The sequence below is a fragment of the Homo sapiens genome, chromosome 14, assembly GCF_000001405.40.
Source record: "Homo sapiens chromosome 14, GRCh38.p14 Primary Assembly".
Classification (NCBI taxonomy): domain Eukaryota; kingdom Metazoa; phylum Chordata; class Mammalia; order Primates; family Hominidae; genus Homo; species Homo sapiens.
This window is the reverse complement of record NC_000014.9, coordinates 99539332-99555837: the sequence shown is the minus strand read 5'-3', so window position 1 is coordinate 99555837 and position 16506 is coordinate 99539332. Positions and strand designations below refer to the sequence as shown.

General features: G+C 55.1%; 1 protein-coding gene across 4 annotated transcripts in view, besides 5 other annotated features; it reads left to right on the top strand.

The window, feature by feature from the left end:
* Nucleotides 1–16506, top strand: part of CCDC85C (coiled-coil domain containing 85C) — a 104018-nt gene that overhangs the window by 48370 nt on the left and 39142 nt on the right. The window lies entirely within an intron of this gene.
* Nucleotides 2949–3093: an enhancer, noted in NCBI's record as "145 bp enhancer 184 fragment used in the MPRA reporter construct; PK_construct_1639". NCBI's record gives its function as "activates an SV40 promoter by MPRA in HepG2 cells {active_cell/tissue: HepG2}" and the evidence as "EXISTENCE:reporter gene assay evidence [ECO:0000049][PMID:23512712]".
* Nucleotides 3014–3027: a transcriptional cis regulatory region, noted in NCBI's record as "HNF4 motif; enhancer activity is reduced when this motif is scrambled". NCBI's record gives its function as "necessary for full MPRA enhancer 184 activity {active_cell/tissue: HepG2}" and the evidence as "EXISTENCE:site-directed mutagenesis evidence [ECO:0005528][PMID:23512712]".
* Nucleotides 3720–4458: an enhancer, noted in NCBI's record as "H3K4me1 hESC enhancer chr14:100017717-100018455 (GRCh37/hg19 assembly coordinates)". NCBI's record gives its function as "activates a minimal SCP1, AML or CMV promoter by ChIP-STARR-seq in naive H9 embryonic stem cells {active_cell/tissue: H9 hESC(naive)}" and the evidence as "EXISTENCE:reporter gene assay evidence [ECO:0000049][PMID:30033119]".
* Nucleotides 10072–10806: an enhancer, noted in NCBI's record as "H3K4me1 hESC enhancer chr14:100011369-100012103 (GRCh37/hg19 assembly coordinates)". NCBI's record gives its function as "activates a minimal SCP1, AML or CMV promoter by ChIP-STARR-seq in primed H9 embryonic stem cells {active_cell/tissue: H9 hESC(primed)}" and the evidence as "EXISTENCE:reporter gene assay evidence [ECO:0000049][PMID:30033119]".
* Nucleotides 15223–15958: an enhancer, noted in NCBI's record as "H3K4me1 hESC enhancer chr14:100006217-100006952 (GRCh37/hg19 assembly coordinates)". NCBI's record gives its function as "activates a minimal SCP1, AML or CMV promoter by ChIP-STARR-seq in naive H9 embryonic stem cells {active_cell/tissue: H9 hESC(naive)}" and the evidence as "EXISTENCE:reporter gene assay evidence [ECO:0000049][PMID:30033119]".

The following is a 16506-nucleotide window of genomic DNA, read 5'->3' as shown; positions in this document are numbered from 1 at the left end:
TTGTAAGCTGAGCATACAAATCTCTGTAAGTAATAACTGGTTTGCGGGAGGCTCTTGGAGACATGCAGATGTCTTGGTCTCCAGCAGGCAGACACGCACTTGTCTCAGCATCCACAGTTAGCTGTCTGGTGGGGACGATGCTGATTTTCTAACTTCTCCCGTCCTTCCACCTCCTTCCACATTTAATACTTGGCCTTCTCCTGGGAGGGCCGCTTCCCCTTTCCCTCAGTGAGCTATGTATGGATGCCTTTTTATCAGCGTGGACTCAGGATTTTTATTTCATCCAACAGGGCTGTAATCCCTGGCTCTTATTATCATTATTGCCACTTGGCCTGGGAGAAAAAAGTGGCTGTGTGCCAGGGAGGAGAAGGGATTTGAAGGCCCAGGTGTGTGTGCTCATAGGACAGCTGTGGGGCAGGGCCAGGGCACGTGTTGTCACCCCGGCCATGCCACTGACTTGACCTGTAGCCTTGGACAAGCCGGCGGACACCCTAGAGTCCCAAGGTCATCCTGCTGGTAGGACAGGTGGGGACAGGCTGACCTTTAAGGCCCACTTGTCCCATCCCATGAGGCTCTGAGGGCCCACGCCATCCTCCCTGTTGAGACCAGGAGTTGGCTTGGGGCAGTTCTCAGCAGCTGGGCTGTCACCTCTCACCTGTGGGCGTGATTACACAGAGGGAGGCTCCCTAGCTCCCTGTCCCGCCCGCCTCACTTCCAGCAAGGCCACCCTCTGCAGGACTGAGGCCTGTTTGTTCTCATCAGTAACCAAACATTGACCTCATCCTGGCACTGGCTCTCCCCTGACCTTCAAGTCTGTTCTTGCTCATACCTTTCTTAAAGAAACACAGTCTTGTGGGCAGGCACCAGACCTGAGGCCCCCATGGGCCTATGTCCATCTGTGCCCACCTGTGCTGCCAGAAGGGTCCTTGGAAGCTCTCAACTCCCTTGTACAGAGAGGTGCTCTGGGGCCCAGAGAGGGAAAGAAACCTGCTCAGAGTCACACAGCAAGGAGGTGGTAGGACCAGGAGTCATGAACTCTACTCCACTCACTGTGGGTGCCCTGTGCCCCGTTTATGATGATGAGCTTCAAGGTGGGACCTCAGGCATGCCCGTTGGCTTTTCTGAGAGCCCAGTTAGGTGTTGATCCTGCAGAAAGGCTGGAGCAACCCGAGAAGAGGAGCTTGAGCCTGGGTGGGGACCAGGTCAGACCTGGGCCTGTGGGTGGTGGCTTCCCATTGACCGGGGTCCTCATTTGACAGCAAGGCTAACGGTTCCTGCTGTCACCTGCTTGGAGCTGGCAGCATGCAGTGATGTGCGGGCTGCCAGCATGCGCTTACCCCCTGCCCGCCTGCCACAGCTGGGGCTGCAGATCACGCTGTGCCAGACACAGCCCTGCAGGAGCCTGCAGAGGGACATGCACACTCCAGTGCCAGGCTTTCTGCTGTGCCGGGCGGGCACACTCAGGCGGAGGCCTTGCCTGCCACAGTGACCAAGGCTGGGTGGGGGTGTATCTCCCTAGAAACGAAGGATCTGGTTAGAAGTGCAGTGCCGTGGTGGGGCTTGTGTGCTGGGATGGCCACAGTCCCGGGCTTGGTTAGAAGCACAGTGCCATGGGGGAGCTCGTGTGCTGGGATGGCCACAGTCCTCTTCAGTTACTGGAGCTGAGGGTGTGGGCTGAGGGCATGGGGCAGGGGACTGAAGCTGGGGTGGGTGGCTCCGGAGAGTTCAGGCAGGAAAGCAGTGTAGACAGATTCACAGAGCAAGTGGAGCCGACCACACTGGGTGGCGGGGAGAGGGTCTGCAGCAGCTCTGAGAGCAAGACACAGTCCTGTCCCTCCCGCAACCTGCACTCTCCCAGAGTGCAGAATCAGTGGCTTCCTGGGATGGGAGAGGCAGGACCCTGGACCCTCTGTCCCCCAAGTTTGAGCCCATCTCTTGAGGTCATGGGGAGAAGGGACCGTCCCCAGCACAGCTCAGGGGAGCTGTTCCCGTGGGTGGACCCTGCCCTCAGCCTCGGGTCCTTGCCCTATCTCCGCCGCAGGGGCTCAGCCCAGCCCTGGGCTTCTGTGCAGGGCTTTGCATCTGTGCCCTTGGGGGCTCGGCATGCAGTCATTGAACAGCCTACCTTTACAGAGGCGCTGCCGAGGCTGAGGGATGCCACGTGTTCAAGAGCCATGCTGGGTGCAGTGGCTCACACCTGTAATCCCAGCACTTTGGGAGGCCGAGGCAGGCGGATCATGAGGTCAGGAGTTCGAGACCAGCCTGGCCAGTATGGTGAAACCCCGTCTCTACTAAAAACACAAAAATTAGCCGGGCGTGGTGGCACGTGCCTGTAGTCCCATTTACTCGGGAGGCTGAGGCAGAAGAATCGCTTGAACCCAGGAGGCGGAGGTTGCAGTGAGCTGAGATCGCACCATTGCATTCCAGCCTGGGCGACAAAGCAGGACTCTGTCTCAAAAACAAACAAACAAAAAAAAAACCACACAGGGAATTAGTGGCCCCCGTGTGAGATTTGAACCCGGAGTTTGTGCTTGTGAAGACTTTTGAAGGGCCTGTGAGAAGATTGTGACATTCCTCTCCCCATGTCCTGAGCTGCAGGGCTCTGGCCTGGGTGTTCTGGAATCTATCCAGCATCCTCTCGGCGGCTCAGTGAGGGGGCCTCATCCTTCCCATTTACAGATGAGAACATGAGAGGCTCAGAGACGGTCAGTCACTGGTGCGAGGTCACACAGCTGTGATGTGAGACCAGTGTTTCTGTGATTACAGAGGCCCAGCTGACCCCAGGCCTCTCCTCCCTTCTATCCGGCACTGCTAGGGGAAGCCTAGGGTCCTTCTCCCATTGAGGGCCACACCCCCAGGCCATCCCTGGTGGCCTGGGGTAACCAAGTCCCTGGCCAGCAGGACAATGAGCTCCTGGTCTGTTAGTCCTATTTTGGGTCACCCAGTGATGTCACGGTGCCAAGAGCCATGCAGGAAGCACCGGGTTTTCCAAGCCTTGCCCAAGGTGAGCAGGTGACCCTTGAGCCCCGGAAGCTCGTGGCCCCCTTGCGGGGAGAACCTTGGGTCCAAAGGGCGATGATTCCAGCTGCACTTACTGGGTGAAAGGCAGCCTGGCCTATGGGTCATTGGCAGCTGAGCACGTGAAGTGGTGACAGGATGGGGAGGGCCTGGGTGGAGGTTGGCTTGGCAACCCCTCCCACACCTCAGACAGCAACAGCTCCGTCAGTGCCAGCACCTTCAGCTGGCCAGGACCCTCTCCAGAAGGGGGCTTTCAGGGTGCCTGGCCTTCCCTTTGAGAGGTCTAGAGAGTCTGACCTCGTCCCACCGGACTGAGGGGACACTGAGGCTTGGGCAGAGACACTCCTGCCCAACACACTCAGCCAGCACAGACCTGCTGACTCTGTGCCCAGGCTCTCTCTGAAGCACTGTGGGGCTCAGGTTTGCGCCTCCCCCTCCCTGCAAGGGCCTGGTCCTGCCTTGCTGGGGTCAGTCTCATGAAGGCCCCCAGAGACCCTTGTGGAGGGCAGGTGTGTCAGCCTCCGCAGAATGCTTGGGCCGTAGGGCAGGATTGCAGCACCCCTAGCAGTGTGGCCCAGGTCCTGCCTACCTCCTCCCCAGTGGTGCAGGGGCAGCTAGAGGGGGCTCACAGCCTGATCAACCTTGGGGCTTTTTGGGGCGCAGGCTAGCCGGGCCTGGGAGGAGCTTCGCCTCCTCCACTCCTTCCTGAGCCTCCCACCTGGACCCCCAGGTTCCGGGTTAGTGCCCACCCTTGAGGCTTTCAGATGAGACCTCCAGGTTGTCTGGGACCAAGGCCATCCTCCTTGGCCTCCTCTTAGCCTCAGGTCCTCACTGCCACATGGGCCCGGGGCCTGGAATTTACTTTTCCTCTGCTTTCCTTTCTTCTTTTGGGACCTGGCTGCTGTCGCTGGTCCCACCTGTCTGCTAGAATTTGGCTTGGGCTGTCTCTTGAGCCCTTTTCCCTAGAGGCTCTGACCTAGGGAGGGGGCTTGCTGGGGAGTGGGAGGCTGAGCCTGGCTGGTGGACTCCGGTCTCAGCCTGCACTCACCTGCCTGCTGCATGCTTACTCACTTGCTCACTCACCTGCTCACCCATCTGCCCACCCACCTGCTCACCCACCTGCACACTCACCTCTCACCCACCTGCACACCCACCTCTCACCCACCTGCACACTCACCTCTCACCCACCTGCACACTCAACTGCTCACCCACCTGCACACTCACCTCTCACCCACCTGCTCACTCACCTGCACACCCACCTGCACACTCACCTGCCCACCCACCTGCACACTCACGTACTCACCTGCACACCCACCTGCACACTGCCTTCTACACCCACTTGCTCACTTACCTGCTCACTCATTCACCTGCTCACCTGCACACCCACCTGCTCATTCACCTGCTCATCTGCATACTCACTTGCTCACGCATTCACCTGCTCACCTGCACACCTACCTGCTCACTCATTCACCTGTTCACCTGCTTGCTTGTTCATGTGACCTTCCCCCCACTGCCTCCAATCCCGTGTGGCCTCTGGCAGGATGCGCATACTGGTGGTGTGAACTTGGTGGCCAATCTCTAGTGTCTGTCCAGCCCCAGTGCTCCGTGTACGCTGTGACCCTCACCCCACCCCAGGACTCCGTTAGGGCTGGGAGGGCATCTCCTCTGCCGCATATGGAATTAGCATTGGTTTGTCATTATGTCACAAGCAGCTAGTGGTTCCAGTACTTCATGCTCTACAAAACCTCAACTTTAGAATAGAGAAGAGGCTATGCGCTGTATGGGTGATACCACATTGGCTTTGGATCACCTTGCAGTGTGCATGCCTGCACTGGGTAATGTTGGCAGTGATGTGGTAGCCTTTGCTGGATTGGTGATGGAGGCTGGTGCCAGCAGCTTGGTCGAGCTGGACCCAGGTGAGCAGTCGTATATTGGAGGAGTGTGGCCTGGGCACCCCAGGCCTGTTATGGTACCGCTGTCCCCATGGTCAGCTGGTGCTGGTATCTCGGCTCAGAGGGCAGCGTGCAGGCCTCAGCTGGCCCTTCCTTTCCATCAAGGTCGGACAGTTAGAGTGTGAGCAGTCGGGGAACAGGGCAGTTTTTGTGAAGTATCTGCTAAGTCCAGGTCCTATGCCAGGGCTTTCGGAGCTGGTCTTCTCCTAGTCTGCACTGCAGTCTCCTAAGGTTGGGTTTTTATCTCATTTTTAAGTGAAACCGAGGCTCAGAGTGACTAAGCAAGCAACCTAAAGTCACACAGCCATGACTTGTAGTTCTTGTGTGGGTTTCCTATGGCTGCTGTCACACATGACTACACCCTGGTGGCCTAAACAACACACATTTATTCTCTTGCAGTTCTGGAGGTCAGAAGTGCCAAAATCAAGGCATCAGCAGGGCTGCGTTCCCTTCTAGGGGCCAGAGGGGAGAGCCCGCTTCCCTGTCTGTCCAGCTTCTCCCCTTCCCCATCTTCAGTATTACAGTGGCCACCCCACCGTGGTCACATCTCCCTCTGAGCTCAGCGGGGAAAGGCTCTCTGTTTTTAAACATTCATGCAGTTAGATTGGGCCCACCTGGATAATCCAGACTAATCTCCTCCTAATTTTGAGTTCCATAACCTTGATCTCATCTGCAAAGTCCCATTTGCCAGGTCAGATAGCATTCAGAGATCCTGAGGATTAGGGTGGGGGCATCTTTGAGGGGTTGTTATTCTGCTGACTACGGTTCACAAGCCCAGGCTGAGAACTTTATCCAGAACAAGGCCCTTGTGTTGTCATTTGGGGAAACTGAGGCCCAGTGTGTCATGGAGGGCGCTGCCAGGGCTGGGACTCCTGACCCAGTTTCTTCCCCCGCACTACACTGCCTCTTCTGAACAGAGATCGCAGCAGCCCTCACGGGCACACAGCTTGTGTTGTTTGCATTGCTCAGCACCAATTATCTCCTCTTGCAACATGCCCTGCGCATGAAAGGAGCTGGTCCTTCTCCACGGCTGGAAGAATGTGTCCTCCCCAGGACCTCTGGGAGGATGGCACTATTAAGCCAGGCTTGTTGATGATCATTTCGGTCAACAATCACCCTGCTGTTAGTTTTATGTGAAACGCGGGAAGCCCAATTTGCTGTCCTCAAACTGAGTCTATCTCGCTTCTAACCGGGCAGGTCCACTCCGCTCTGCCTAATTTCGGGGACAGTGTCTCGCAGGAGACCCAGTTGCGTTCCTGTCCTGCCCTCTGAGTCCTCTGAGTTATCTGGGCCTCCTGCCCTCATTTCTCTGGGGCCTGGGAAAGGGAAGGGGCTTGTCCAAGGTCACAGAGCAGGTTGGGGCAAAGAGGGGGCCTGCTCTGGCCTCTGTGTGCTGGTGGGTGGCTTCCTACCACCACCTTCCAGCCAGACGCCTGTGAACCCCTCATCTCCCTGGGGCTCTCAACTGCTGCTGTTGGGCTACTCCTTCTGGGAGTGGGTGGCACCCAAGGAGGTCACTGCTGGGGGTGTTTGTGGGATTTCCATATGCAGCCCAGGAATGGGGACCCGGGGAGGAAGTGGTACAACATGAGGAGTTTCCAGCATCTTTTCTAGAACAGCCGCCCAGACTTTCTTCCTTTAACTTACTTCTTATTAAGAAATAGATAAAAAGCAATAAGCTTGGAGAATAATGAGACAGCGATTACTCCACAGCCCGCCTTTATCACACTGTCAGCAATAAGCATTTTAGCTTCAGATCTTTGCCTTTTAAGAAATCAAGCTTGGCAGGTGGAGCGGAGGCACCCTGTGTGTCATCCTCCTCCCTCCCCGACTTTTCCCAGGGAGAGCTGAGGCCCAGAATCGGAGCTCAGCATTCTCGTGCAGTTTTTAAAAATTTCTCCTGCCTGGCAAGCCTCTAACAATGTGAGGATGCTTTGCAGATTTTCAGACTTTGTAGAAATGGCATCGCACTGTGTGTCCCTCAGTGACTTGCCCCCATCCTCTTCATGTTTTTGAGATGTATTTGGTTCATCTTTTTGTTTTGTTTTTGTTTTGGGTTTTTTTGCTTTTAGTTTTTAGAGGTGGTCTTTTTTTAGATTGCCCGGGCTGGACTCACACTCCTGAGCTCCAGCACGCCTCCCGCCTCGGTCTCCCGAGTACCTGGGACTATAGGAGTGTGCCCCTCTGCCTGGCTCTTGTTTGTTCATTTTTATCTCGCTACAGTATTTCATTGTTGGGTTAAACGACAATTTGTCTGGTCTCCTGGGGAGGGCATTTGGGTGGTTTACAGTTTTCACTAGTACAGCTGGTGTTGGCAGACACGGTCTTGTGCCTGTCTCGTTGGGCGCTTGTGCTGGGCTTTGTCAAGGGTGTGAGCATCTTCAGCTGCAGGAAACCGCGCCAGGCTGCTCTCTGATCCGCTGCGCCGATCATCAGCATCCCCTGTGTGGCCCGTTCTTACGTGTGCACCGTCACACAGCATGACCACTTTTTACTCTCCGCCAATCCAGTGGCATCTCATTGTCGGAATTGGGTTTCCTTGATGACACCTGCGGTTGGGCGTCTCCTCACAGACTTCTTGGCTATCCAGGATTCGTCTTTTGTGGCTCTCCTCTTCCTATACCTCTGCCCCTTCCCATGTATTTCCTTATTGATGTTAGGGATTCTGGGTATGATCCTTTATCTGGGAGGGGACTTACACATGGCTCCTCCCAGATGGCAGCTTGTTGTCCAACTCTGCTCACCTAGCCACTCTCTGGCAGCGTTCGTAATCCTCATATAGTCGGGTTTCACGGTCGTTCCCTTCATGGTTTGTTCTTTTTGTTCCTTGATTAAGAAATCCTTTTCTACCTGAAAGCTCAAGTTTTTATTTTTCTTTAAAATGTTCTCTTTGTTTTAAAATAATAGTTTTATGGAGATAGAATTCACAAACTAAAAGTATGCTATATGTGTATGTATGTGTATATATGTGTGTGTGTGTGTATATATGTATATATATGTGTGTGTATATATATATGTGTATATACACACACACATATACCCATAAATATATATGAAAGTATGCAATCCTGTGGTTTTCTTTTTTTTTTTCTTTGGGACAGAGTCTCGCTCTGTCACCCAGGCTGGAGTGCAGTGGCGCGATCTTGGCTTACTACAACCTCCGCCTCCTGAGTTCAAGCAATTTTCCTGCCTCAGCCTCCTGAGTAGCTGGGACTACAGGTGCCCGCCACCATACCCAGCTAATTTTTGTATTTTCAGTAGAGACAGAGTTTCACCATGTTGGCCAGGCTAGTCTCGAACTCCTGGCGTCAGGTGATCTGCCCGCCTCAGCCTCTCAAAGTGCTGGGATTACAGGCATGAGCCACTGTGCCCAGCCAATCCAGTGGTTTTCAGTATAGTCGCAGAGTTGCACACTTATCACCACTATCTAATTCTGGATCATTTTAGTCACCCCAGAAAGGAACCCCGTTTCCATTAGCAGTCACCCCCTATCCCCTCCTTGCCTGCACCAGCCCCTGGAAACTACTCATCTACTTTGTCTCTATGAATCTGCCTATTCTGGAGATTTTATATAAATGGAAACGTACAGTATACGATCTTTGGTGTCTCACTTCTTTCCTGTAATATAAGAAAAGCCGAAGTTTTTGTTATTTTTATTATTTTATGATTTTTAGAGACGGGAGTTTGCTATGTTGCCCAGGCTGAGGTGCAGTGGCTATTCACAGGCATGATAGCACACTACGGCTTTGAACTCCTAGCTTCAAGTGATCCTCCTATCTCAGCCTCCTGAGTGGCTGGGCCTACAAGCATGTACCACCATGGCTGACCTCAGGAAAAAAAGTGTAAAATTAAAAAAAAAGAAATCACAATGGGGTCTCGCTATGTTGCTCAGGCTGGTCTCTAACTCCTGGGCTCAAGCGATCCTCCCACATTGGCCTCCCAAAGTGCTGGGATTACAGGCATGAGCCACTGTGCCTGGTCAAAATAGTTTTTTCACATAGAACTCTCTGACCTTCCTGGAACTGTTTTCTGTATATGGTGTGAGGCTGAGATAGAGTTTTACTGTTTTCTGGGTGGACAGCTTGTTGCTACTGCAGCCCTGTTCATGAAGCGCTCTGTTCTTTCCCCGCCGGCACCGTGGCCACACACCAGGTGTGTGGGTCTTTTCTGGGCTCCACCTTGCCTCTCCACGTGGCTATGTTATCTTTCCTGTAGAGTCTGGTGCACATAGAGCTGTCTTCTCTGAACTCCCATCGCCCTAGGAATCCTACCACCTGGCTGGTGAGGATTTATTCTTGTTTTCATTGCCTCAGTGAAACACAGTCCAGATGTGTTGCTGCTGCCAGATGGAACCGCCCAGAGCCCCCTCTTTCTCTTGCTGCAGGGCCTTGGATTCCCACCACTGCTCTCACCGCAGATCAAGTGCCTTCCCTGAGCCGCTCTCCCAGTGCTGGCTGTGATGACCCAGCCAAGCCTGGATTTCCCTGTTTCCTGAGCCGCCTCCACCTGCTGCACCTCCCACCTCTGCATGTGGCTGAGATGTCCCACCCCTCCCACGCCTCCCCACTGTTCTTACTAACTCTGCAGGAAAGCAGGCTCCGGGGCAGAGCTGTGGGGGCAGGGCATCATCCCGGCCCCCCAGCTCTTCCCACAGAGCCTGGCACTCGATAGAGATTTGGTTGACATCTAGTGATGAAAGCAGCCCCCACACACTTTCTCCTGAAACCAGCAAAATTCTCCCCTTTATGCTACCGGGGGGCTTGGCACCTGCGTTCTAGGGCTCGGTAAGGGTTGTTTATTCCCCCCCCCCATGCAGACTTCAGTCCTGCGCGATTAGTTGCATCATAATCCCTCTAGCTTTTTTTGCCTTTGCTTCAGAGTTCAGCTCCACTAATTAATAGTCAGGGGCAGGAGGGTAAAGGGTCCCTCGGAGTTGGAGGCTGGGAGTTGGATGATTGGAACAGTGACCACAGAGCTGCATGTTAGAATCACCCACAGGGCGTTTAAAATGCAAACTGATGCCCAGGTCCCTCCCCTAGAGTGTCCAGTTAGTCTCAGGGGAAGAGATCAGATTTTAAAAGCTCTCCAAGGAGCCAGGAGGGCGTACCTTTCAGCCTGATGCTGGGAGCTGCAGGCTGAATGTGATGTGACCGCTGTGTGGTGAGATGTCTCTCCCCGGCGGGACTAGCTGATGTCTGCACACAGTCCAGATCTATCACTGATTCCCAACTTCAGCAGTGAAGTTGGGGTTGGTAGGGGAGTGTGATGGGCATTAACAGTGCCGACACCTGCACCACCGTCTCACACACACAGGTCAATTTCCAGATGCGTGCAGCCCTTGAAGGCACAGGGAAGGAATTCTTTTCCCCTTGTCCCCATATTTGAAGCAATTACACAGTTTTCATTTGGCTTGTCAGGCTTCCCAAGCAGCGGATGGAGAAATGAGTTTGAGTTTTGGTTTGAGAACACTGGTGGTTCCCAGGCAGATCCAAAGTAGGGCACATTCTAGATGAACTGAGCCGGAGCGGGGCTTTCCATTCAGCTGCCCCCTCCACATTGCAGTGTCATTGGGAAGCCTCGTGGCTTTTCCTGGAATTAAATGCTGGGTGCCCAGTGGCCCCTGAAGCTGGGGAGAGGCAGGCAGCTGATGTGTGGGAGAGGCAGGCAGCCGGTGTGGGAGTCCCCAGCCCAGAGCAGAGTGGCCCACGAGGGGACAGATGACACTGAGAGGACAGGCGTGCACTCACTGGGGAAGGCTGACCGGCCAGCACCAGGAGATTTCATTCTCATTAGGGCAGCCGTTCGTTTTCCTCTTCTCTAGCTACTTTTTTTCCCTGGAGGCACTGGGAAGGGTGTCCTCGGCGTGTTTGATTTCTAATCCGGCTGTGGAAGTGTGAGATGGAGAGTGTGGGGCTCCGGTCATGGCAGCTCCGTTTTTGCATGCATCCGCGAGGTGGGACTTTAGGTTCCCATGATCCCATGTCTCCGGGCATGGAGGTGGATCTCAGGGGAAGCTGGTGCCAGCCTGCAGGCCATGTGTGACCTGGCGAGGCTCAGAGGCTGTGGGGTCTTTGGCTCAGACTGAAAACCTCACTAACATCAAGTCTTTTCACATCTGGGGCTGGGCGCTTATCTGGTGCCCTTGGAGGCGAGGTCTCGGAGGAGAGATGGGTCAAGGATAATGGAGTTCAGAGTGACGCTCCCTGGAGCCTGGGCCCTGAAAGTCACCTTGCGTCACGAAGAGAATTTCTGCTCTGGGAGAGGGGAGTCAGGCTGTCTTCCAAGCCCCATCCCCTGCCTCAGTGGGTTGTCTAGAAGAGTCCTGGGTGTGGGAACACACAGACACACAGACACACACACACACACACACACACACACCCTTCAAATTTTAGCCCTGTTTTTATGAGTTCTGTGACTGGGTGGTTATGGAGCCCCTCGGAACCTCGGTCTCTTTGTTGGGGGAGTAGGTGAAAGTTGCTGTGCCTCCTTGCCAGGCAAAGCTTAGAATGAACAGCCCTGACAACCATGGTGATGATGTCTTGAGAGGCCCAGGGTCAGTGCGCCAGAACCCCGGGGTTGGTGTGGAAGCTGCGAGTTAGATGGAGAGAGCCTTGGCTGTAGACAGACCCAGGTTCAAATCTCAGCCCTGCAAGGTTCCCGCCGGGTGACCTTGGCCTTGCTGCCTAACATCGCTGAGTCTCAGGCGCCTTGTCGATGACACAGTGGTAGCAGTTACAGGATGTCCCTCGTCAGCTTGGTGTGATGGGGTTGTGCTCCGTGTGTGCTGGCATATGGTGGGTACTCAGCAAACTGTGTGTGTGCGAATGGGAAAGATGGTTCTCTTCTTTATGCCCCAAGTGGATGGGAGAACTCTTTTCCACGCCCAGGGCACTGGAAGGCATCGCTGAGCTTGCAGCCAGCTGCCTCGGCCTGCAACACCCTGCATGCCCATTTGTGGGCTGTGGGCACTGAGGCCTGCCTGGCTCCATGCAGCCACCGCCAAAAGCTGTCCTCACAGGAACCCGATGCCCTCTCTCAGGCCTCTTGCCTTCATCCATAAATAATGCCCGTTTCACATTCAGCCTGCCCCTCCGAGAGCTGTGATCCCTTCCAGGAGCTGGTGTCAGCTGGGATTGGCATGGCCACTGATGCTAAGGGGCACAGCACAGGTGTACCTGGACCTGTTGTGGCTCTACCTCCCTGCCTTTGCTCAGGCTGTGCCCTCAGCTCCTATGTGCCTTTCGTCTTCCCCATCCTCACAAACTCTGTCAGAGTCCTGCTTGCTCTTCAGTGCTCAGCTCGAGTGTCACCTCCTTCAGGAAGGAGGCCCTGATTTCTCCTGGTCAGCACACCCTGTTCTCTGCCCCTCTCTCCTGGGCTGCGCCTCCTTGCTCCACTCTTTGCGTTGCAGTAGATGTGGTTATTCTTGCAGCTCCTTCATTAGGCCAAGGGTCCCTCACAGGAAGGGATGTGCCTTTGACCAATAATATACTGCCCCTGCCCGCCGACCCCCGCTGGTCCTGTGGGTGGCTGGCTTTGTGACCTTGGGCTACTCTGAGCATTCCTTTTTTCCTTTGTAAGACGGGGTTCTGCATGGCAGGGTCCTGTGGAGATTGGAGGAGCAGAGTTAGCTCTTCTGGCACTGGGGTAGGTAAGCAGCTTCCTTTGCCATACTGGGAACCTTCATTGTTCCAGAGGCTTCTGCCCAAAGAAAGACTGTTCAGCCGCTGCTTTCTCTCCCCCTATGATGGGGAACTCACCACCCCACTGGTAGCCTGGACTGTGATGAAATCGATAACTCCTTTTGGGTCTCAGATTAGAGGATTCTCTCTGCTCTCCAAGAATTTCTGTCCTTTGGTGACCCTTTGGAATGCTGGGATCCAGGGAGTAGGCAGGCCTGGAGTTGCGGTATCTCCCAAGTCCCTCGAGAAGATGGGGCCGTCCCCAGGCTCTGGTGGCTCAGCTCACAGGGCTCTTTGGTGAACCCACACAAGGAGAGCGCCCCAGGCCTCGCTGGGGGAAACCCGAAGTGCTCATGCCTCAGAGGTGTAGGGCGGCCAGGAACATGCAGCTGCAGGACCCGCTGGGCCTGGCATGCGGGCAGTGGCCACCTCGGGATGAAGCAGCGGCCAAGGGTTAGTGCCTGCTGGGTAGGAGGGGGCACTGCAGGATGTGTGGCCAGTGTGGCCCTTCTGTTGCCTCCAGCCCAGGATGGGTGGTGCTGAGCTGGAGGGTGGGGAGGACTGCCTGGGAAGAGGAGGCCGGCTGCTACCCGGAGCCTCTAGGCCACCACTCCCTGGGTCTGTGGCTGCCACTTTGCCTCCTTGACCCTCAGTTTCTTCATCTGTAAACTGGGGGGGCCTGGTCACCTGCCTCATGGTGAGGAATGTTGAGGACTAATGTGTGTAAGCCACACGATTGCTGTTCGGTAGATGAATATGGTTATGGACGGGTTTTTCTGGAATCTGCATCTCCGTCCGTGTCCCTGGTTCTTGGAGCTCCCCGCAGTTGGTGGTACCAAGAGCACTGGCTTAAGAGCCTGGAGCCCGGTTCTCCCTGGCCCTGCCCTGCCTGTTACTTGGTGCACCTTTGCACCTTGTTTCTGCACTTTGTGGGAAGTACGTGTTCGTTTAATGAGGCCCTTCCACCTCATGGAGCCACCAGCCCTGAGGCTGCAGCTGACTCCTCTTAATGAAGTGGAAGGAGAAGGGGATTTAATCAGCCAAGCTGCTGCGCTGAACGGTGGTATCAGCTGTCTTGCACAGGGCCCATGGAGGTGCTGGGCAGGAGCCCCGATGGAGGCCTGCGGCTTGGAGTGGCCAGGTCTCCTGCTAATGACCTGCCACGAGCCTGCCTGGCCCCAGACCTTGCAGAAATTGACCAGGGCTGGGAAGCCATGCCGTAGGGCCTTGCTCAGGGGGAGGGGCTGGGAGGCAGACCTGGGGAGGGTGCACAGCAACTGGAGAGTCAGGCTCTGTGTGTCACCATGTGTCACCATGTGTCCCTGTGTGTCACTGCAGCTCCCTCGCCCCCAGCCTCCACCTTCTATGGAGAGAGGATAAACCATATTTTCTCCTGAGTGGTCACAGACACTGTTGATGCCCAGCCCTGATCCCTGAGGCACTTCCTGTTTCTGAGCCCACGGCTGTATCGCCTGCTGGCACCTGCAGCTCTGCCCAGGAGCCCTTCCTGTCCATTCTCCTCTTGGGCAGTGCTGGGACGTTAATACTCCCAGTGAACCATTGGACAGGTGGGGTGACTCCGAGCCCTAGAGCTCACCGGCAGAGTGGACACCCCTTCCATTGGCTTCTTCCCTTCCCTGCCTCCCTTCTCTACCCCTCTCCCTGGGTTTCCTGGGGTTGCCACCCACATAACCCACGTGAAGTTGATTCCTCCTCTCTCAGTCTGCACCCAACCTGAGATATAAGATCATAGGGAGGCGTGTGTGAGACAGGAGCATCAGGCACCGCAGAGTCAGATGCAAGGAGCGTGTGCCCAGAGCCCAGGATGCTCTGCCCCCTGTAGCCTCGGCAGCTCCTTGTCTGGGGTTCCCCAGCTTGGGGTGCGGGGTGCTGTGTCACATGCATGGCTGAGCGCTCCTGAGGAGCTCATTGCAGCTACTCCTTCTGGTGGGAGATGGTGGGACGGAGCCAGGGAGGCAGCTAAGAACAGGTCCCTCCAGGGATGAGTTCCTATTAGGGCTGCAGACATTTTTCTGGAGGCTGACTGTGTGCCAAGTGCTGAGCTAGGGAAGGAAGGTCACAGAGGTGATGGGACATGGCTTCTGGCCCCCCAGTTCTTACTGTTCTGGACACAGCAAAGTCTGGAGGGGAGGTGGAGGTGACATCATCTTGCCAGTGTGAAAACCAGGCCAGGAGGGGGAATACCACCCAGCCCCTGCCTCACAGCTTCCCAGAAGGCCAGTGAGTCCTGGTCCCAGTGGCAGGACCCAGTGCAGGGTATCTGGGATGGAGCCGGCACAGCGCCAATGGGGAGGGCTTGGCAGACCTGCAGGCTCTGTGACTCCCCCCACCATGCTGCACAGCTTTCCCCCACCCCCTCCTCATGGGAGCAAGGGATCCATGAAGAGGGCGGGGTGAGGGGAGCTTAGGTCTGGCTCCTGGACACAAGAACGTTGTAGGGAGACACCCTCCTCCCCGGTTGGCAGCTGGATAGGGAATCCCCCAGAATTGGTCCGATGGCCCCCAGACGGGTTAGGGGAGCACCCCAGGGGACCCCTTGGCCAGGCCAGCCCAGGGTCACCTCCCTCATTTTGCCCTCAGGCAGCCAAGCTGGGAAATGATGTCCCCTCCCCTGTGGCTCCAGCACTCATTACTGTAAACCCTGGGATTAACTTAATTACCCGCTCATCTCCAAGAGGCTGGGGCTTGCAGGCACCCAGTGGGATCACGAGTTTTGAGGCTGCCAGGAAGGACAGTCCTCCCGGGGAGCCGGCCCTTCCCGGGGTCTCCTGCCCTCCAGCCCCCGCCTGGGAGTGCCCAGATCACTCTTGTTCTTCCTGTCTGAAGAGTGCCTGCTCCTGACCCAAGGGTGACTGACGCCCGGCTCACTGGCTCCTGGCAGCCTGGAGAGCTCTTCTAGGGAGCTGAGTGTGGGGAGAGGGTCAGGGTGGTGGGTTTAAAATGTCCATTGCTTCATTGGGTGGCCATGCATGTAATGTGAAGGTGCAAGAGTTTAATCCGTTCCCCCCCCTTTTTTTTTAAAGACAGTCTCGCTCTGTCGCCCATCTGGACTGCAGTGGCGTGATCTCGGCTCACTGCAACCTCTGCCTCCCGGGTTCAAGCAATTCTCCTGCTTCAGCCTCCTGAGTAGCTGAGATTACAGGTGCCCACCACCACTCCCAGATAATTTTTATATTTTTAGTAGAGATGGGGGTTTCACCTTGTTGGCCAGGCTAGTTTTGAACTCCTGATCTTAGGTGATCCGCCCGCCTCGGCCTCCCAAAGTGCTGGGATTACAGGCATGAGCCACCGCGCCCGGCCATTCTTTTTTTCTGAAAGAAGGATTTCAGAACTAGACTACAAGTCGATTATTTGAAAATTAACAAGAAACGATGTGAATAAATAAAAACCCACTGGTTCCCTCATCTGAGCAGCCGCACAGTCAGGATTTCTGTGGACTTCCTTCCTGAACTCACGTCAATGCCTGGATATTTTTAAACGTCGCAGCCATTGTGCATGTCATTTTGTGTCCAGTTCTTTCCACTGGCATTTTAAGTGTTTTTCCATATTGTTTAGGAGAGAAACTTTCTAAACATCATTTTAATGATGACAGGGTAGAACCCTCAGCTGTTGTTGGACAAATAGTTATTTCCAGTTTTGGCCACTCTGTCTGCTTTCTTCATAATTATAATTAATTCTTTTTTTTTTTTTTTTTTGAGATGGAGTCTCACTCTGTCACCCAGGCTGGAGTGCAGTTGTGTGATCTCGGCTCACTGCAACCCCCGCCTCCCAGGTTCAAGTGATTCTCCTGCCTCAGCCTCCTGAGTAGCTGGGATTACAGGTGCCTGCCATCA